The sequence below is a fragment of the Homo sapiens genome, chromosome 6 (genome assembly GCF_000001405.40).
Source record: "Homo sapiens chromosome 6, GRCh38.p14 Primary Assembly".
Taxonomy (NCBI): Eukaryota; Metazoa; Chordata; class Mammalia; order Primates; family Hominidae; genus Homo; species Homo sapiens.
The window spans coordinates 41,655,778-41,676,648 of NC_000006.12; the positions used below are offsets into that span (position 1 = coordinate 41,655,778).

At 48.9% G+C, this 20,871-nt stretch overlaps 1 pseudogene, besides 3 other annotated features; it reads left to right on the forward strand.

The window, feature by feature from the left end:
• Nucleotides 1,638-2,252: an enhancer, noted in NCBI's record as "H3K4me1 hESC enhancer chr6:41625153-41625767 (GRCh37/hg19 assembly coordinates)". NCBI's record gives its function as "activates a minimal SCP1, AML or CMV promoter by ChIP-STARR-seq in primed H9 embryonic stem cells {active_cell/tissue: H9 hESC(primed)}" and the evidence as "EXISTENCE:reporter gene assay evidence [ECO:0000049][PMID:30033119]".
• On the forward strand, nucleotides 11,033-12,078 carry NPM1P51 (nucleophosmin 1 pseudogene 51; annotated as a pseudogene).
• Nucleotides 18,014-18,513: an enhancer, noted in NCBI's record as "H3K4me1 hESC enhancer chr6:41641529-41642028 (GRCh37/hg19 assembly coordinates)". NCBI's record gives its function as "activates a minimal SCP1, AML or CMV promoter by ChIP-STARR-seq in naive H9 embryonic stem cells {active_cell/tissue: H9 hESC(naive)}" and the evidence as "EXISTENCE:reporter gene assay evidence [ECO:0000049][PMID:30033119]".
• Nucleotides 19,092-19,593: an enhancer, noted in NCBI's record as "H3K4me1 hESC enhancer chr6:41642607-41643108 (GRCh37/hg19 assembly coordinates)". NCBI's record gives its function as "activates a minimal SCP1, AML or CMV promoter by ChIP-STARR-seq in naive H9 embryonic stem cells {active_cell/tissue: H9 hESC(naive)}" and the evidence as "EXISTENCE:reporter gene assay evidence [ECO:0000049][PMID:30033119]".

A 20,871-nucleotide genomic window follows, 5' to 3' on the forward strand; every position in this document is an offset into this window, starting at 1 on the left:
GATTGCTGGACCTACCATTGACAGGACTGCCTGGCTTTCCTCTGTGAGGGTGTTCCAGCCTCGGCTCACTCAGCCTCGGGGGCATCCACTTCTCCCACTGCCCTCGAGAGACAACGGTGGGAGGGTTTCCCATTCAGTCCTCAAGGCTGGGGTCTGAAGGGCGTTAGGGAGGCCAGATCAGGGGGTGAAGGGGCTCCTGACCAGCTCGATATCTGGTCCAGGTGGGCAGGAAGGCCTGCTCCTGGCCCTCCCTGCTCCGCAGGGCTGTGGCAGGAAGAGGCGCCTCTGCAATCCAAACAGCGATTTCCTGCTGCAGGCTCCAGGCTGTTTTCTTTAGGACAGTGGCTGAAACCCTAGAGGCTAAGCTGGGTTGGGGCGGGACAGGGGAAGGATTTAGCCAGCCCCCCAGCACACACACACACACACACACACACACACACTCACACACTCACACACACACACACTTCACACCTGTATGCACACACACATACACTCACACAGACTTTCCATACAGTCACGTACTCACATACATTCCGCAGGCTCATGCATTCCATCACCCGCACCACACACACACTCACACCACATCTACCCACACACGGACACACACTCACACATTTCACAGCCTGCAGCCGCCGCCACCCCTGGCCAGCCTGAGGCTGGGCTGTGGAGACTCATGCCTATCCATTCAAGCTTCGTCCCACACCTGCCCTGCCTTCCTCACCTCCCTGTCTTTGCCCAGGTGGCCCTGATCCCTGCCGGGCAGCAAATGGCAAAAGCCCTGGCTCTGGGCCCTTCCCTCTCCTCATGGTCTACCACAGGCTCCCAGGCTCTGCTTTCCAACGGCTGGGCTGAGCCAGGAGACAGTTTTAGGCCTGGCTGTGCTGTGGGCCCCGGGAAAGAGGCCCTTTCCTCCCCAAGCCTGTGTGTACGACGGAAGAGTGGGTAGACTGCAGCCACAGTGTCCAGGGAACACCTGCCTCTCTCCAGTCTTCTTTCATCTTTGGAGCAGCAGATCAGGCCACTTTTGCCTGGGAGACATCTTAAGAGGCCACCCCGCCCCCTGGGTTGTCTAAACCAAGGCAAGCACCCCCTGCTTGTGGGAGAGAAGGTGGTGAGGCCAAGTTTAGCCATCTGTGGCTAGTACTGTCCATGACCACTCAGTGATCTTGTGCGCCAAACCTAAGAGGGGTGGCCCCACGGCAGAGCAAGTAGCTGAACCAGGGGGTGGTTTGTGAGGGGAGGGCAATCAGCCGGACCCCTCTGCCTCCATAGTCTCCATCAGCTTCTCCCTGTATTTGGAACTTTAACTGGCATAGCCTGTTCTCATACTCAGAGCGGGGCAAACTGAGCTTCAGGCCCCATGGCCTCCATGGCTCCAGAGCTGCCAGGACAGAACACCGCTAAGCAGTTCTGACACTGGGCTGAGCAGGTCCATCCCTGCCCCGTGCCATCACCCTCAACAGCTTCACCTGCTCCCCAGGGTGATGGTCCGGTTGTGGGGGCTGGGGCTGGTCTCTGGGGTTTTCAGGCCAACTGCTGCACACAATCCCAGGGCTGAGCAGGGGGCAGCGGGACTCCACTTGTTGACCGAGCTGGAAAACAGCTTAGTCGTCCTTGGGGCTGGCCCTGGGCAAAGAGAGGTGAGGGAGAAGCAGGGACAGGAGGCTCAGGCCACAGTGGGGGAGTAGCGAGTCATGGGGACAGAGCTCACAGAGCCGGTCCCTTGTCATCTCTGTGCAGATGCTCCTCTGTGCTCTGACTTTCCTAGGCTGGTGAGGACACACGGTATGGGATGGCAGCCGCAGTCACAGCCCTTTCATCACCTCAGCCTCCTCTGGAGAAAAGCCATCTCCCAGCCCTTCCTCGCCTCTCACCTGGTTTCACCGCTTTCCCCCAGGCCGTAGCCACCGTCCAGTTCACAATCCCTGCCATCTCCGGGTCTGCTTCTTTCTGGGTGCGGGGCACATTTCCTCCTACTGCAGACAGATACATGTGGAGTGGGAAGGGGTAGACACACGGTCCACCTGGCACCGTCTCAGTTCTACTGCCTTGGGGCCACATAGCAAAGGCCAGGGAGGCACTCTGATTGGCCCCGCACATCAGCAGGCTCATCCCTGAGCCAATCACGGTGCCAGGGGACGGAGGGCTGTGGCTGGCCAGGCCTCATCGTGTGCTGCCTCTGTGGCCTGGGAGAGTGGGCTACTTGGCCACCCCTCCAGACCCTGATAGAATCAAGGAAGGGAAACCTCCCAAAGAGGTAGGGGTGTTATAAGAAAAACGAGGGGAAAGCTAACAGATTAAAACAACAGAAGTTACCGTGGGGTCAGACTACCACGGGTGGTACAGAGAAGTCCCTGAGTAGAGGAGACCCAGCTGGAAACCTCAAGTTGTCGAGTGCAGCTCAGCACATTTGGCTGGAGAAGAGAAGGCAAGAATGGCCTTCAAGTACCTGGAGCTTGAGTAGAGTGCGGCTTATGTTCAGCCTCCAGCAGGTAGGGGTAAGACCGAGAAGCAGACATAACAGAAAGAGCATTCCCAGCTCCAGGAATGAGAGAATACTCTGCTAGCAAGAACTGCCCCAGGAAAGATGGACAGCCACAGCAGGGGGCAGGGCTGGGGTCATCCCTGTTCCAAGGACTGTTCTGGGGGAGCCAGTGTAGATTAGGTCCCTGCCCAGGTACTGACAGGGCGGCAGAAAGGACAGATGGTGGAGAGTTTTTACAGGTGGTCCCACAATTCCTTCTAACTCAGATCTTCCATAGCTAACAACATAGACTGCGGCCATCTGATAAGAGAGAAACACGGGATTGAAGGTAGTCGGGGAGATGGAGTAAGATGAACAAAAGGAGACAGAGACAAGGAGGCAGACAGGAGGGTGCGGACAAACTAAGGCCCTTGGAGACGGAAAGGTGAAGCAGCAGGCTGAAGGCACACAGCCCCCGGCCCCTCCCAAGGTCGCCCGCTGTGGGCTGTGGGGGCAGTGGTGCCCCTTAGCCCGGATCCCTCCCAGGCATGGAGCCTCCGCAGAGCTGGGCAGCTCAGCATTAATTAGGACCTGGCTAATGGCTCGGAAGATTGGCCAGTTCTAGGGACGCTGATGAATAGAGACTGCGCTGAGATTTATTCCTAATTATCTCATTTGTCTCCCCCCATTACTCTTTATGGCTGGGATTTATGGGACCATTAGGGGGGCCCAGCCAGGCCAGGACGAGTGTGAGCCTCGAGATGCTTCGTGCTAATAACAATAACAATGGTCCTCTTGGCCCGGATTAATGGAGGACTGACTTTCTTGCCCTCCCCATCCCCTATTCTTGGGACCCCAGACACTAGCTTCCCCCATGTTCCTCTCCCGTCCAGGACCCCTGGCCCTCAGCCACCTGTGGAGTTCAAGCCTGTGCCCCCCTCTGCCTCCCGCTCTACCCCAAGGGCTCAAGGTAGTAGTGGGAGGACCTGATTTCAAAGGTAACACCTCTGGGACAAAGCTTGTATCAATATTGATGTGTTCGGCAGCAAGCAGCAAAGAACCCAAATAAATATGGCCTCAACTGTAAGGACATTTATTGTCTCCTTAACTAGAAATGCGGAAGTGGGTGAGCCCTGAGCTGATCAGGAAACTCCAAGACACCATCAAGGATCCTGGCTTCCAACCTCCTGCTCCATCATGCCCAGAATGTTGTCCATGGCTCCCCTCCTAGTCACAAAATGGCTACTACAGCCCCAAGCGTTGTGTCTTTACACATGGCATCCCTCGAGAACAAAAAGGGCAGGTGGGCTGGGTGCAGTGGCTCATGCCTGTAATCCTAGCACTTTGGGAGGCTGAGGCAGGTGGATTGCCTGAGCTCAGGAGTTCAAGACCAGCCTAGGCAACATGGCGAAACCCCGTCTCTACTAAAAATACAAAAAATTAGCTGGGCATGGTGGTGCATGCCTGTAATCCCAGCTACTTGGGATGCTGAGGTACAAGACTCCCTTGAACCCGGCGGAGGTTGCAGTGAGCCGAGATCACACCACTGTACTCCAGCCTGGGCAACAAGCGAGACTCTGTCTCAAAAAAAAAAAAAAAAAAAAAAAAAAAAGGCAGATGGAAAAGGGGGACTTCTCCTCCCTCACCTTTTACCAGAGCAGGGAGGGAACGATTTCCAGAAGCCCCAACAGGCTTCTACTTACATCTTTGCCCACACTGGATCATATTCCTTCTTAGGTTGGACTCCTCCAGAAGCTGACTCTAGACAAGAATTGAAGTGCAAATAATTTGCTTACGAGGGGGTTCCAGGAAACACCAGTAGGGGAGTGAGGAGTGTTATCAAGCTGGTTACCACTGTGGGCAACTGGACACGTGCTTCTGAGGGAACTGCGATATTTACACAGCAAACCCATGGTTGCCGGTTGGGGACCGTTCCCAGCAGGGAGTGTTCTCCAGCGCTCCTAGCCTGCTGGGCTGTGGAAGAAAAGCCCCCAGAGGCAGAAGGGGGCCAGGGTGTCCCTCCCTGAGAAGGACCAGCGAACAGGCAGGCATTGGCAGAACCTGCCCTCACCCACCAAGGGGAGTGATGATTGATGGCCAGACAAACCCAACTCACTGCTGGGCAGGGAGAAAGGGGGCTACCTTTGGGGACTCAGCCCCAGGGTCTGCCACAGAGCCCCTCCCCACCTCCTCTACCTTGGACTCTACTACCCGGGCCAGCCACAGGGGATGAGCTTCAGTGTGAGGTGAAGGTGGGAACAAACCACATAGAGAAGATGCGTTTCAGCCCCTGTCCTGTTTAGAAGGTTCATGTCAGAGCCCTCTTCAAGAAGATTCCTGGAAGCCACTGTGTGAAAGTTCTGCAAGCTTCCCATTAGCCAGAACTTAGTCACATGGCCACGTTCAGCTGCAAAGGAGGTGTATTGGTCCATTCTCACACTGCTATGAAGAAACACCCAAGACTGGGTAATTTATAAATAAAAGATTTTTAAAGGGTAATTGACTCACAGTTCCGCACTGCTGGGGAGGCCTCAGGAAACTTACAATCATGGCAGAAGGCAAAGGAGAAGCAGGCACCTTCTTCACAGGCGGCAGGACAGAGTGAGTGCAAGCAGGGGAAATGCCAGATGCTTACATGTTCATCATCAGATCTTGGGAGACTCACTCACTATCACAAGAACAGCGTGGGAGAAACTGCCCCCATGATCCAATTGACTCCACCTGGTCCCACCCTTGACACGTGGCGATTATGGGGATTATGGGGATTACAATTCAAGATGAGATTTTGGGTGGGGACATAGCCAAACCATAAGAGGAGGCTAGAAAATGTCATCTTTATTCTGGGTGGCCAAATGCCCAGCTGAAATTTCTATTACTGTGGAAGAAAGGGTGACTAGATATGAGGGGACAGCTAGCTGTCTCAACTACCCTACCCAACAGCCATTTGCCTCTTCTTTTTTTATTTTATTTTATTTTTTTTTTGAGACAAAATCTCTCTCTGTTCCTCAGGCTGGAGTGCAGTGATGCTGCAGCCTCAACCTCCCAGGCTCAAGTGATCCTCCCACGTCAGCCTCCCAAGTAGCTGAGACTAAGGCATGCACCATCACACCCAGCTACTTTTTTATATTTTGTAGAGATGGAGTCTCATTATGTTGTCCAGGCTGGTCTTGAACTCCTGGGCCCAAGGGATCCTCCTACCTCAGCTTCCCGTAATGCTGGGATTACAGGTATGAACCACTGTGCCTCGCCTTCTTCCTTTTTTTTTTTTTTTTTAACAGACTCCTGATTTAGTTTACTCTTCTCCAAGCAGCCATGAGATTCAAAGAGAGCAGACCCCAACTCCAGGGGATGAACCATGATTGCTCTAAGCCAACCATGGTGGTCTCATCCCCCCGTCAGTGCCTGGTTTAGGAATGAGCATGTGACACCATCTTGGCCAATGAAACATAAAACTCTCCAGAGGCTTCTAGGACATCAGACAGGGACATTCCCATTTCTGCCCTAAGTGGTTGTTGTCCATAACCCAGACAGAACAAGCCACCTTGGACCTATTGAAGGGAGCCAGTCTAGGATGTCAAGATAAGCTCCCAAGAACTCCAGAGTGGAAAGAAGAAAACTATCTACTCCTTATGACACCTTCACCCCTGAATTAGCCAACCCTGGAGCCACACTACCTGTGAACTTCCTGTGATAGAATCATTCTTAAGCCACTTTAATTGGGTTTTCTACTATTTGTAGCTAGAAACCTACTGACTGATGCACTCCCTTCTCTTGGCATTAGTTTCTCTGTGAGACGAATGGAGGGGTTGTCCTAAAGTCTCACTTTCCTGGTAAGGAATTCAGAGAGCCCTGTGTCTACCATGTTAGTGACAGAAATCCTGTGCAAACCAACTTAAGCACAAAAGGAATTTATTGGCGCTCATGGCTGGAAGGAACACTCTGGTATTTGTAAAATTAAAGAAAGAGCTTCAGGAATCAGGATGGGAGCTGGGGACCCAGTGCCTCTGGGATTCTCTCTGTCTTCTTCCTTCTGTCTCAACTCTGAGATTCCCTGTGTGATGGCCTCAATGTCTCCTATTGAAGATAGATCTCCTCCACATTGGTGGGTGGGAAGAAAACAAGGTGAACAGAAACCAGAGATCTTGGCAACCCTGGTGAGAGAAAGGACCCTTTGCATAGTTTCTCAATCCCAGGACAGGATGCTGGATGGCTCTCTGGGATCACATGCCCATCCTCTGGGTAAATCAGTGTTTCATTGGATACATCGATTGGTCAAGCCTGGGTCATCTGTTTACCTCTGCTGGAGAAGGAGCTTTGGTAATTGATGGATTCATCAGAACCACATGGAGGAGGAGAGGAGCAGCTCCCAAAGTGTGGGGTATACTGTGGAAGCATTGGGAGGACAAAACAAAAACAGATGCTCAAGACACATCTCATTCCCCGAAAGACAGAGGCCCCAAGTGATTTTGTTGTTTTCTTTTTTGAGACGGAGTTTCACTCTTGTCCCCCAGGCTGGAGTGTAGCAGCGCCATCTTGGCTCACTGCAACCTCCACCTCCTGGGTTCAAGTGATTCTCCAGCCTCAGCCTCCTGAGTAGCTGGGATTACAGGCACCTGCCACCACACCTGGCTAATTTTTGTATTTTTAGTATAGACAGGGTTTCACCATGTTGGCCAGGCTAGTCTCGAACTCCTGACCTCAGGTGATCTGCCCACCTTGGCCTCCCAAAGTGCTGGGATTACAGGCATGAGCCACCGTGCCCGGCCCCAAGTGATTCTTCCTACTAAAATCTGCCTTGCATCTTGCCAGTATATTAAGTGAAAGCAATCCTGCTACCCAGAGAAGGGCTTCAATTCTATATGAATGGTGCCCCTTGAAGTGGGACAATGTGGCATCCCTGAACTTGATAATACCTTGAACTTGGACTGCAGATGTGTGGCTGAGCCATAAAGGAGGCCTGCCACCTCTTGGGGATCTTTTCCTAAAACTCTAGCCAAAGGGGGTATTCCATTTTGGATGATGAATCTATCAGTTGGAGCCAGTTAGGACAATTCAGCGTATTCCAAATTGTGTGTGTGTGTGTGTGTGTGTGTGTGTGTGTGTGTGTGTGTGTGTGGTGGGGGAGGCTGTTGATACAGGGAATAGGTTACATGAATGATGGAAGAACCAAGATGCCAATGGTATGATGAGGCACCCCAGAGATTAGCAATACCAATAAGGGATAGGGAGAAAATAGGAGGAGGTAGTGTTAGGTGTTACCAGAGCCCAGAAGCCAGAACCATGTGGAAAGAGCTAAAACCACAGTGGTGAGGGGGCTGCCTAGCAGAATCTGTGATTGTGGAAGGCGGCCTGGGGAAGCTGGAGCCACAGAGGAGACAGCTGCTTCTGGAGAGCCCACCCAAGGCAGAGAAAGGGAGACAAATTCCCTGGCTTCTCCCTTCCTTCTAGCTTGTGAACTCCCTCCAGTGGCCCCACTGGCTGAACTCAGATGGAAGCCAGCTGAAATAAGAGCCCGAGAAACAGAGGCTGCAAGGGCCATCATCCCTGTAGGGCAGGGCAGGGCAGAGCAGATCAGACAAAGGGCAAGGAATGTGTCTGAGGATACATAGGCAAATGACAGACACAATGGCCAACTGGCCTGCGGTGCACATGTTTGTGTCCCTCAAAATTCGTATGTTGACACACCAAGCCATCATAGGATGGTATTAGGAGGTGGCGCCTTCAGGAGGTAATTAGGTCATGAGGGTGGATCGCTATGATGGGATGAGCATCCTTATAAGAAGAGGAAGAGAGCAAGCTCTCTGCTTTCCACCACATGAGGATACAGTGAGAGACAGCCATCTGCAACTGGGAAAAGAGTCGCCACCAAAACCTGGCTATGCTGACACTTGACCTCAGACTTCCAGCCTCCAGAAATGTGAGGAATAAATTTTTGTTGTTTATAAGCCACTCATTTGTTACAGCAGCCCAAGTGGACTAAGATGGGGCCCCATCAGATCCTCTGCCTTGCAAAGCAAGAAGACCACTAGAATCATTTTCACGAAGCCTGCTGACATCCCAGTTCTGGAAGCTTGGAGCCCCTGAGTGACTACAGTGTCTGCACATTCCTGAAAGTCCCACTTGAGCCCCATCTTCTGAAAGGCCCTCACCATACACATTCCCAGCCAGGATCACCCTGTAGTTCTGTAGTCTCCAGATCCAGCCTGGGCCGGCAGGGTTGCTGCCAAAGCCCCAGCATCCAGCTGCAGGGAAAGGAAGGAGAAAGTGGGGGCCCTGCAGAGGAGGGGGCAGTCCGGGGTGCAGGCGCAGGGTTGCAGGAGGGAGGCCTTTTCATGGCTTTCTACCCCCACCACCACCACACGCCAAGAAATATTTTGGGCAGAATGAAAATAAAAGCAAAACACAGCATATCAAAATTTGTAGGTTGTAGCCAGGCACGGTGGCTCATGCCTATAATCCCAGCACTTTGGGAAGCCAAGGTAGGCAGATCACTTGAGGGCAGGAGTCTGAGACCAGCCTGGCCAACATGGTGAAACCACATCTCTACTAAAAGTACAAAAATTAGCCAGGTGTGGTAGCATGCACCTGTAATCCCAGCTACTTAGGAGGCTGAGGCAGGAGAATCGCTTGAACCTGGGAGGTGGAGGTTGCAGTGAGATGAGATCGTGCCATTGCACTCCAGCCTGGGCAACAGAGTGAGACTTCATCTCAAATAAATACATAAATAAATAAATAAATAAAATAAATAATTGTAGTTTGCAGCTAAAACAGTAGTTAGAGGGAAATTTATACCACAGAATCTTTTTATTAGAAAAAAGAAAGGTTTCAAATCAATGATCAAAACTTCTACCTGACAAAACTAGAAAAAGAAAAGCAAATAATCCCCCAAATAAGTAGAAAACAAACATTGAAGAACAGAGCAGAAATCAATGAAATAGAAAACAGACTAACAATAAATCAAATGAATGAAACTAAAAGCTTATTCTCTGAGAAAAATCGATAAAATGTATAAACTGCTAGTCAATCCAAAATTACTTGTAAAAACATTTATAATAGCATCAAACACTATTAAATAGGAATAAATCTGAAAAAAGATGTGTAAGACTGGGTACACTGGAAAAGTAAAATATATTGCTGAGCGGAATTAAGTAAGAAATGGAAAGATATACTGTGGTTTATTAATAAAAAAATCAATATTGTGAAAATGTCAATTCTCTCCAGAATTGATCTATATCAGTGCAATCCCAGTCAGAATCCAGCAGGATTTTACGTGGAAGTCAATAAGCTGATTCTAAAATTTATGTGGCGAGAAAAAGGACCTAGAAGAGCCAAAAGACTCTGAAAAAGAAGAAGTTTGGAAGACTTATACTACCTGATTTATAAAGCTACAGTAATCAAGACAGACAAATAGATTTGCAGAATAGAAAGTCCAGCAATGGACCCATACATATATGATCAATTTATTTTCTTTTATTATTATTTTGAGACAGAGTCTCACTCTGTTGCCCATACTGGAGTGCAGTGGTGCCATCTTGGCACACTACAACTTCTGCCTCCCAGGTTCAAGTGATTCTCCTGCCTCAGCCTCCCAAGTAGCTGGGACTACAGGTGTACACCACCACCATGCCTGGCTAATTTTTTGTATATATATATATATATATATATATATATATATTTTTTTTTTTTTTTTTTTTTTTTTTTGAGACAGGGTCTCGCTCTGTCACCCAGGCTGGAGGGCAATGGTGCCATCTCGGCTCACTGCAACCTCCGCCTCCTGGGTTCATCCTCCTGGGTTCATCCTCCTGCCTCAACCTCCTGAGTAGCTGGGATTACAGGCGCCTGCCACCATGCCCAGCTAATTTTTGTATTTTTAGCAGAGACAGGGTTTCACCAGGTTGGCCAAGCTGGTCTTGAACTCCTGACCTCAGGTGATCCACCTGCCTCGGCCTCTCAAATTGCTGGGATTACAGGCATGACCCACCACGCCTGGCCAAGTTTTTGTATTTTTAGTAGAGATAGGGTTTCACTATGTTGGCCAGGCTGGTCTCGAACTCCTGACCCCAAATGATCCACCAGCCTCAGCCTCCCAAAGTGCTGGGATTACAGGCATGAGCCACCGCACCCGGCCTTGATCAATTTATTTTTAACAAAGGTGACAAGATGATTTAATGGAGCAAGATCATATTTTCAACAAATGGTCCTAGCACAATTGGCTATCCATCTGCAAAAAAAAAAAAAAAAAAAAAAAGAGAGAGAGAACCATACTTTGCACCATACGCAAAAATTAACTTAAAATGGATCATAGGCCTAAGTGCAAAATCTAAAACTATAAAACTTCCAGAAGAAACAAAGAAGAAAAATATTTGTGACTTTGGGTTTGCTACGTATTTCTTAGATGGAACAACAAAAGCACAGATCTTTTTAAAAAATTGATGGATTCAACTTTATCAAAATTAAGAACTTCTATTCTCCAAAAGACACTGTTAAGAGAATGAAAAAACAAGTCACAGTCTGGTATAACATATTTGAAAATTATTTTATAACTTTCTGATTATAAAAATAGAGCCACCCTGGTGTGACTCTGTCCTGTGCAGCTGTTCTCTCCAGCAGTGGTCGTTTATCTCCATCTGCCTTCTCTCCCACCTAAGTGCGTGGCACCACCTGATGGAAGATTTGATGGACATGGACATGAGCCCACTGAGGTCCCAGAACTATCTTTTCAGTTGTGAACTAAAGGCCAACAAAGATGATCATTTTAAGGCGGATAATGATGAAGATGAGACCAGTTATCTTTAAGAACAGTCAGTTAAGGGGCTGGAGCAAAGGATGAATTGCACATTGTTGAAGCAGAGGCCATGAATTACAAAGGCAGTCCAATTAAAGTCACACTGGCAACTTTGAAAATGTCTGCACAACCAATGGTTTCCCTTGGGGGCTTTGAAATAACACCACTAGTGGCCTTATGGTTGAAGTGTGGTTCAGGGCCAGTGCATGCTAGTGGACAGCACTTAGTAGCTGTGGAGGAAGATGCAGAGTCAGAAGGTGAAGAGGAGGAGGATGTGAAACTCTTAAGTACATCTGGAAAGCAGTCTGCCCCTGGAAGTGGTAGCAAGATTCCACAGAAAAGAAGTAAAACTTGCTGCTGATGAAGATGATGATGATGATGATGAAGAAGATGATTTTGATGATGAGGAAACTGAAGAAGCGCCAGTGAAGAAATCTATACAAGACACTCCAGCCAGAAATGCACAAAAGTCAGATCAGAATGGAAAAGTCTCAAAACCATCATCAACACCAAGATCAAAAGGACAAGAATCCTTTAAAAAACAGGAAAAGACTCCTAAAACACCCAAAGGACCTCGTTCTGTAGAAGACATTAAAACAAAAATGCAAGCAAGTATAGAAAAAGCACATGGAACAGTCCTGGGCACTACTGGTAAATTAAGCCCAAAGATGGGGAGACAGGAAAAGGAGAGACAAATATAGTCCATACTGAGTGTCACCAACAATCCAGACTGAAGTCTTCTATTTTAATCTCAATCCCCTTTTTGGATTTGCCACCATGGCTCTTCAGGCTGGAAACAATTTGGTTCCCAAAAGCACTTTCTCTGACTGCTGTGATTCAGTGAAACTTGCCCTTTGCTTTCTATTACTTGTGCATTTGCCTCACCTCTGGCCATGTTTTAAATCACCTTTGTATCTCCTTAACTGCTCAAAAAAATATTATTTGAATGAATTTTTTTAAAAAAGAGCCACCTTGGGCCTATTGAAGGTAGCCAGTCTAAGAGGTCAAGACAAACTCTCAAGGACTCCAGAGTGGAAAGAAGAAAACTATCTACTCCTTATGACATCTTCACCACTGAATTAACCAACCCTGGAACCACACTATCTCTGAACATCCTGTTATAGAATCATTCTTAAGCACTTTAGTTGGGTTTTCTATTATTTTTAGCTGGAAACGTATTGACTGATGTACTTCCTTCCCTTAGCATTAGTTTCTCTGCGAGAAAAATGGAGGAGCTCTCTGAACTCCTTACCAGGAAAGTGGTAAAGGATTTGATATCTGATAAAAGATTTGTTTCTAGAATGCATTAGGAACTCTCAAAACTCAATAAAGAAAACAAGCAACCCAACAAAACTGGCAAAAGATTTGGACACTTCCCCGAAGAAAAAATACAGATGGCAAATAAACATATGAAAAGATGTTCGACATCATTAGTTATTAGGGAAATTAAAATTAAACCCACCATGAGATATCACTATATATCTATTAGAATGGCCAAAATTAAAAACTGACCACACCAAATATTATTGAGGCTGTGGAAGAATTGGAATTCTCATATATTGTTAGTGGGAATGTAAAATGATATGATCACTTTGAAAACATTTTGGCAATTTCTTTTTTTTTTTTTTTTGAGACGGAGTCTCACCCCGTCGCCAGGCTGGAGTGCAATGGCGCAATCTCGGCTCACTGCAACCTCCGCCTCCCAGGTTCAAGTGATTCTCCTGCCTCAGCCTCCCAAGTAGCTGGGACTACAGGCTCGTGCCACCATGCCCAGCTAATTTTTTTTTTGTATTTTTAGGGAACGGGTTTTCCCCATGTTGGCCAGGATGGTCTCGATCTCTTGACCTCATGATCCACCTGCCTTGGCCTCCCAAAGTGCTGGGATTATAGGCGTGAGCCACCGTGCCCGACCAACAATTTCTTAAAAAGTTGAACATACACCCACCTCATGACCCAGGCATTCTACTCCTAGGTATTTACTGAAGAGAAATGAAAGCACTTGTCCCTACAAATATTTGTAGACAAATGTTCATAGCAGTGTTATTCACAATAGTCAAACTTCTAAACAACCCAATGTCTTTAAATTTGAATGAATAAACAAATTCTGGTATATCCATACAATGGAATATTACTCAGCCATTAAAAGGGAAAGAAATACTGATACATGCAACAACATGAATGTGTCTCAGTTATGCATCTCATTAGATTCACAGACAAAACTAATTATGCCTACTAAAGGAAGCCAGAGAAAAATAGGTGCGTTCTCTATGATTCCAGTTTTGTGAAATTCTAAACAGTACAAACTAATCTATCGCACAGAAAGCACATCAGTAGTTGCCTGGGGTTGGAGGTGGGATAGGGAGAAACAAAAGGGAGGGATCACAAAGGATCATAAGGAACCCTTTGGGGGTAATGGATGTGTTCACTATCTTGACTGTGGTGATAGCTTCATGGGTGGATACATACATCAAATCTTATCAAATTGTACACTTAAATATGTGCAATAAATGGCTTTATATCTCAATAAAGCCATTTTATTTTTTATGAAGTAGACTTTTTTCTTTCTTTCTTTCTGTACATAGCATGTTTTTAGTTCTTTTTTTTTAATTTATTTCCATAGGTTTTTGGAGAACAGGTGGTATTTGGTTACATGAGTAAATTCTTTAGCGGTGATTTGTGAGATTCTGGTGCACCCATCACCCAGGCAGTATACACTGAACCAATTTTTAGTCTTCTATCCCTCACCCCCTTCCCACCCTTTCCCAAGAGTCCCCAAAGTCCATTGTATCATTCTTATGCCTTTGCATCCTCATAGCTTAGCTCCCACTTATAAGTGAGAACATAAAATGTTTGGCTTTCCATTCCTGAGTTACTTCACTTAGAATAATAATCTCCAATCCCTCCAGGTTGCTGCAAATGCCATTAATTCATTCCTTTTTATGGGTGAATAGTATGCCATCATATATATGCCACAGTTTCTTTATCCACTCGTTTACTGATGGGCATTTGGGCAGGTTCCACATTTTTGCAATTGTGAATTGTGCTTCTATAAACATGTGTGTCCAAGTATATTTTTCGTATAATGACTTCTTTTCCTCTGGGTAGATACCCAGGAGTGGGACTCCTGGATCAAATGGTAGTTCTTTTAGTTCTTTTGTTTGTTTGTTTTGTTTTGTTTTGTTTTGTTTTGTTTTGTTTTTGAGATGGAGTCTCGCTCTGTCACCCAGTCTGGAGTGCAATGGCGCTGTCTCTGCTCACTGCAACCTCAGCCTCCTGGGTTCAAGCAATTCTCCTGCCTCAGCCTCCCGAGCACCTGGGATTACAGGCACGTGCCACCACACCCAGCTAATTTTTTGTATTTTTAGCAGAGACAGGGTTTCACCATGTTAGCCAGGATGGTCTCTATCTTCTGACCTCGTGATCCACCCACCTCAGGCTCCCAAAATGCTGGGATTACAAGCATGAGGCACTGCACCCAGCCAGTTCTTTCAGTTCTTTAAGGAATCTCCACACCGTTTTCCATAGTGGTTGTACTAGTTTACATTCTCGCCCACAGTGTAAAATGTTCCCTTTTCACCACATCCACGCCAACTTTGATTATTTTTTAATTTTTCGATAATGGCCATTCTTGCAGGAGTAAGGTGGTATTGCATTGTGGTTAGGAATGATTTCACAGAGGAGAACTGAGGCAGAGCAATTTAATGGAAAGGTACAATATGGAATAGCGTGTGAGCACTCAAGGTCGGACTATCTGCCCCAGCTCCGATTGTGTTGGACGTTGTAAATGACACCATGATGGACATCCTTGAACATAAAACCTTCAAGCACATCTTGGATCATTTCTTTAGGGTAAATTCCTATATTTAACTTGACCTCTTAGTACCTCAGTTTTCTCATCTGTAAAATGGGATTAACAATGATGCCAATGTCAGTGGGTTGTGGAATTTAATAAAGCTGTCTGTGCCTGTGTATGTGTGTTACCTAGAACAGTTTCTCACACCTAGTAATTCCATGTTACCAAAAGCTGGATGAATTCGAGGGAGACAAAAACACAGATGTCCCCATATCCCTGTGGTGTTGGCTGATGGTTTCCAGCTAGATTGCCAGCTCCTGGAGCTGAGCGACCAGGAAGGGCACACAGCCCAGTGGAAGCCTGAGGAGAGACAGGTGGCGGGAGGCGGTGTTAACAGAGGCAAAAGAGAGCTCAGAGCACCCAGCTTGTCTTCTGGGCAAAGCGTCTGAAACAGAGAAAATTCAATTGTTGTGATCATGTATTTTTCCCCCAAATTTCATGCTGGTAGAACTACTGGCCAGTAATTACCTAGCAAATTAGAGAATCTACCAGGTCCCCAATTAGGTACCCAAGGACATAATTGGTCCCTAATTAGAAAAAGTTGCCAAATGGGAACAATTATCTCTGTTCTCCATTTCATTTCCTCCCTCCTCGAGCCAAATCTCTCTGCTTCCCTCCCCCAGTGGGTCTTCCTGCTACCCCTTTGGGGTTGGGGGATGGGAGGAGGGAGACGAAGGCTCGTGCCAGTCACACCAGCAGTGCCCACCTTGGAGATGGTGCTGGGGGCCTCTCCTTTGCATTCCCAGGAGCCCCAGGCACTCCCCACGTTGCTTCCTAAGGGGCTGTTTACTAAACTGTAGGCAAGGGTTAGTCTTATTCATCTGTCTGTTTCCTGATCTAGGTCAGGGCCTGGCATTAAGAAAATGCTTAGAAATGATTGTTGAAGTGCAAGGACGGCTCTGGGTCAGAGTGACGGTGCTGAGTGCCTCCTTCCATTCAGAGAGTAGGGGGCTTACTGCACAACCCTCACTGACCACACGCTGCCATGGCCCAGCAATGCCATCCCGCCAACACCTGGCAGGAGGTCAAGCAGGAGGCATAATCTCTACCAGCCTTCTTCATCCTTTGTTCTGAAGTTGGAAACATCCCTCTGAGAGGAGGGAATCAAGAAAAGTTTCATGGAGCAGCTGGTGTTTGGTTTGGGAAATTTGGAGTTCAGAGGAAAATCCAACAGAAGCAGTTGCAGAAGGTCAGAGATAGGCACTCTGGACAGGAGAGGAGCCTTGTCCAGCTGAATGATTGGGGGAACTCAGAGAAGTAGCCAACAGCCAGGCTGGGGATGCGACACAGGGACCACCAAGGATTGTGGGTTTCCTCGCGGAAGCACCAGGGAACTGTCCAGGTCAGAACTTCCTGGAAGGTGGAGCCAATTTGTGCTCATAATACCATCAAGAGTAAAAAGATGAAAGGCAGAGGAAGCAGGCATGAGGCGGCTGCAGCGGGTTGAACAGACACTAGAGAAAAGAGGCCGTCAGGGCAGCGATGGCCCCAAGCAACTCTGATTAGATGGCAAGGGCAGAGTGGGGGTTAGTAGAAGATCAAACCAAAAGCCTCATCTTTTCTCTTAGTCATGTCCTAAAGAAATTATCCAAGATGTGCTTGAAAGTCTTACGTTCAATGATGTCCATCATGGAAGAAGGGAGTGGTAAAAAGACTAGGGACGGCCAGGCATGGTGGCTCACGCCTGTAATCCCAGCACTTTGGGAGGCCGAGGTGGGTGGATCACTTGAGGTCAGGAGTTCGAGACCAGCCTGACCAACATGGAGAAACCCCGTCTCTACTAAAAATACAAAATTAGCCAGGCGTGGTGGCACATGCCTATAATCCCAGCTACTCGGGAAGGCTGAGGCAGAGAATCGCTTGAACCTGGGAGGCGGAGGTTGCAGTGAGCCAAGATCACGCCATTGCACTCCAGCCTGGACAACAAGAGCAAAACTCTGTCTCAAAAAAAAAAAAAAAAAAAAAAGAAAAGAAAAAGAAAGTTACCCAAAAGCAGATGTAGAGAACCGGGTGCAGTGGCTTAAGAGGGCCTTCCACAAGAGCGCCACAGGGTAGCATCCCTCTGGAGTGGGCAAGCCCTGGTGGTAGAAGAGAGCCTTGTAGGGCCCCAAAGTCGTCATGACCAGGGCCAGTCGGGTGGGGCTGGGGGCAGCAAGTCACTGATCCCAGAACTGGGAGGGGCACAAAAGGAAGTGGGGCCCCCTCCCCACCCACTGTCCCCTCTTCCATCTGCCTCCCGCTCCCCCACCTTCCATTCCAGAAGCTTCCAGCAGGAGGGCATTTCAGGCTTCTCTGAAGAGGGGACTAATTAAACCTTAATTGACACAGCACTAATTAACTTCTTAATTACACGGAACCACATGATTAGCCACGCAGCAGACACTAATTGTTCATTAGGAGGCAGCCCCCTCTGTCCCCCACCCCTTTCCTAGGACCTACCAGCTAAGGTACCTGAGGGGCGCAGAGTTGGCAACCCCACCACCCAGCCCAGTGCCTGAGCCCAGCCTGCTCCAGAGCCTCAGCTGGAATAGCACTCACCGCCCTGGCCTGAAGCTAGCTGCCCTTCCATAATCGTGACACAAATGATCACTGAGCGCCTTGGATCCTGGCCTTTGCAGCCCTCCTCCTTCAAACCCCTGGCCCAGATGAGGAGTAAAGCAGGTGTTCCAGAGCGCTGAGTTTCTTCCTCCCTGGGGTGAGGGGAGCCCAGGACAGGCCCAGCTCAGAGAGTGAGAGGGAACCAGCCTTCTCGAAAGGCCCGCCTCACACCAGTCGCCTCCCACAGCTGAGAATATTGAACCTCCCGATGCCCAACGGAACAGGCGTCTTCCACGTTGAGGAGACCGGCTCCACAAAATTGAGAAATATACCCAGGAGGTTCACACTGCGAGTGAGGGGTGGAGCCAGGTCCAAGCAGGCCTTCTCCAAAGCCAAGCTGCTCTCCCCTGGCCCGGCAGCCTCCTGCAGAATTTCCCGGGTCCCACAGTGTTGGAAACTGGGACCTGGGCTGGGAAGGGGACTTGCCCCTTCCATGGAGCCATCTGCCCCCCAGCAACACAGCTTAACTTCTCTGCAGAGCCAGGAGAAGGGAGGGCCCCCAGGGAACAGGAGCAGGCTGCCTGGGCTCAAATTTCAGCTCTTTCCTTCCTAGCAGTGTGGCGTTGGGCGAGTTACTCAACCCCTCTGTGCCTCAGTTTCCTCCTCTGTACAATGGAGACAAGGATAGTACCCTCTCCATAGGCTTGTTGTGGGGATTGGATGAGCAAATGCATGAAAAGTACTCAGAGCAGTGCCTTCTTTGCCAAGCAGGTGCTCCACGAGGGCGGCTGTCACTGTGATCTGGAATGGAGGTTGTTCATACCTCCAAGCCTGTCTGCAGATTTGAGTCCCCCCACCCTACTCTCCCACCCTCAGATTTCCTCTCCTCTGTCTAGCCTTGGGGGCCACTCCCAACAGCTCCACCTTCCTTGTGTCTAGGATGTCACCTCCGGCTCCTGAGACTGCTCCCACCTCTCTATACACCTCCGCACCCAGGCTGTTCTGCTTCCCCAAGGTGGCCCAGCCCTAGCCATTCCATGTGTGTACACAGACGCCCCAGCCCATCCCACCAGGCGGGATGGACAGAAAGGCTACAGACACCTCATAGACCAGTGATCACTCATCTTGCTGCTCCCAAGACAGTCCCAGTTGTCATGTGTTGCCCTGGTGTGATCTTTAATAATGTCCCCTTCCACTTTCAGAGTCTCCTGATCTGGACAATAAATGCTGTGATCCCTCCTTGGGTAACACCCCCACCCCAGCATGGGCCAAGTGCTTTGCTGGATGTGATTCACACCAACCCCAGAGACACCCCAGCCTGGGAGGCTGCCTTGTTGTCCCCACCTGACCAAAGAGGAAAAAACAAAGGCACAGAGATAAGGGTGGAGGACTTCCCCAAGCCCCGACACTAGGAAGGGGAGGAGGTGGGATGCCAACCCATGTCCCGGGCCTCGGAAGCCATGGCCCTTCCCCTCCTTCCCCACCTAGCCCCCCACCTTCTCTATGCCAGCAAGATAAAAGGGTGGGTGTGTGGGTGAGGAGGGCTAGAGGTTATTTGTGGGGTTGGGGGACAGGAGGCTATTTGTGGGGAGCTGTTTGCTGAATGTCAAGAACTGCACTACAAATAGGAACAGCCCATGAAAAACACTGAGGGGAAAAAATCTATGATCTCTTCAAGGGGTGGTGAATGAGCTTGTCAGGCCCTGCACAGTTTAATGGACATGAGGCAACAGGGATATTAAGGCCGGTTTGAGGGGAGCCTCAGTGTCCTGGCCCACAGCTTATTCCTCATGTAGGCATCTCCAGGAACCAGCCCTGGGGTGCAGCGGTGCTGGCTTCAGGGTGGAGTGGGCAGAGATTTGCTCACTGACCCCTCACCAACTCCTCCATGCTTCTCACCTGTCCAGGTCCCTTTCCAGGGATCCAGGCCTGGTCTCCAGGGCCTAAGCGGGAGCACCCACCTCTTCCCGAACTGGGTCAGGCCCTGGCTCTTGGTGGGGGAGGGGGCAAGGGAGGTGAATCAGATGCCCAGCTCTGGCCCCTGCCCTGAGCATGCTGTGGGCAGTGCCAGCCACTCCCACCCCCCACAAGTCCCTGTTGTCACTGCAAGAGACACAGCAATTAGGTCAGCCCCCACTCCAGATGCTCACCCCCTTCTCATTAACTGGAAACTATGACAGTGTAGCAAGGAAGGCCCTCTGGGTGTGTTTCCCATCTGTTGCTCTATTTCCAACACAAGCTGCACATCCCGCCTGGAATTCCTGTGCCTCTTCTCCTTCTCTTATCTAGGCCCTTGTTGTCCTTGGACGAGTTACCGAGTCTCTCTGCACCTTTTCCTCCTCATCTCTAACATGGACATAACCATGGTCACCTCCCAGGGTTCGCAGAAGGCTCACTGGGATAATTCATATAAAGCACGTAGCACAGGGCCTGACACAGAGCAGGAACTCAGTAAACGAAACTACAGTCTTTCAAGGCTCAGCCCTAATCCCTCTTCCTACAGGAGGCCCTCCTTGACTGCCCCAGCCGTATATGAGTGTTCCCTCCTCTGCCTTCCACTGCCTGCTCCTTGGTGCTTGCCACACCCCGAGGTATGTTCCTTTGTTGTAGTTGTACACCTTATCACAACACTCACTGGGGCTTACTACGTGCCAGGCACTAAGTGCTTTACATCTGTCAACTCATTTAATCTGACAGCATCCCTTGAGGCAGATGCACTCTTATTATCCCCATTTAACAGAGGAAGACAATGAGGCACAGAGAGGTTAAGTAATTTGCCTGAGGTCACACAGCAAATAAAGTGATGCAGAGCCCAGGCGGTCAAACGCCAAAGTCTATACTTTTAACCTCTACCATAATCATAGAATTGATACATACTTTTCGGGGGGAGGAGGAAGGGATGTAGTATATACACATGACAAGTACCCATGGGCTTTGTGGGGTTTCCAGTTTCACTGGCAGGTACGCTTAGGGTACTGCACAGGTGCTGTGATGTGTATTCACAGCATGTGTACAGTGTGTGTGCAGAGATGTGTCTAAATACAATGTTGTATGTACAGAGAGCTTAGACGCCACTTGGACAGTGCATGCACACTCATACAATGCATATACGTGCACCCAGTGTGTGATTCTGCCGGGGGTTTGTAGGAGGGCACGTCACAGTCCTTTGTGTGGCTGTCATTCTGCCTTAACAACAGTTAAGTGCTGGGGAGGGAAGTGGAGTAGTGTTTA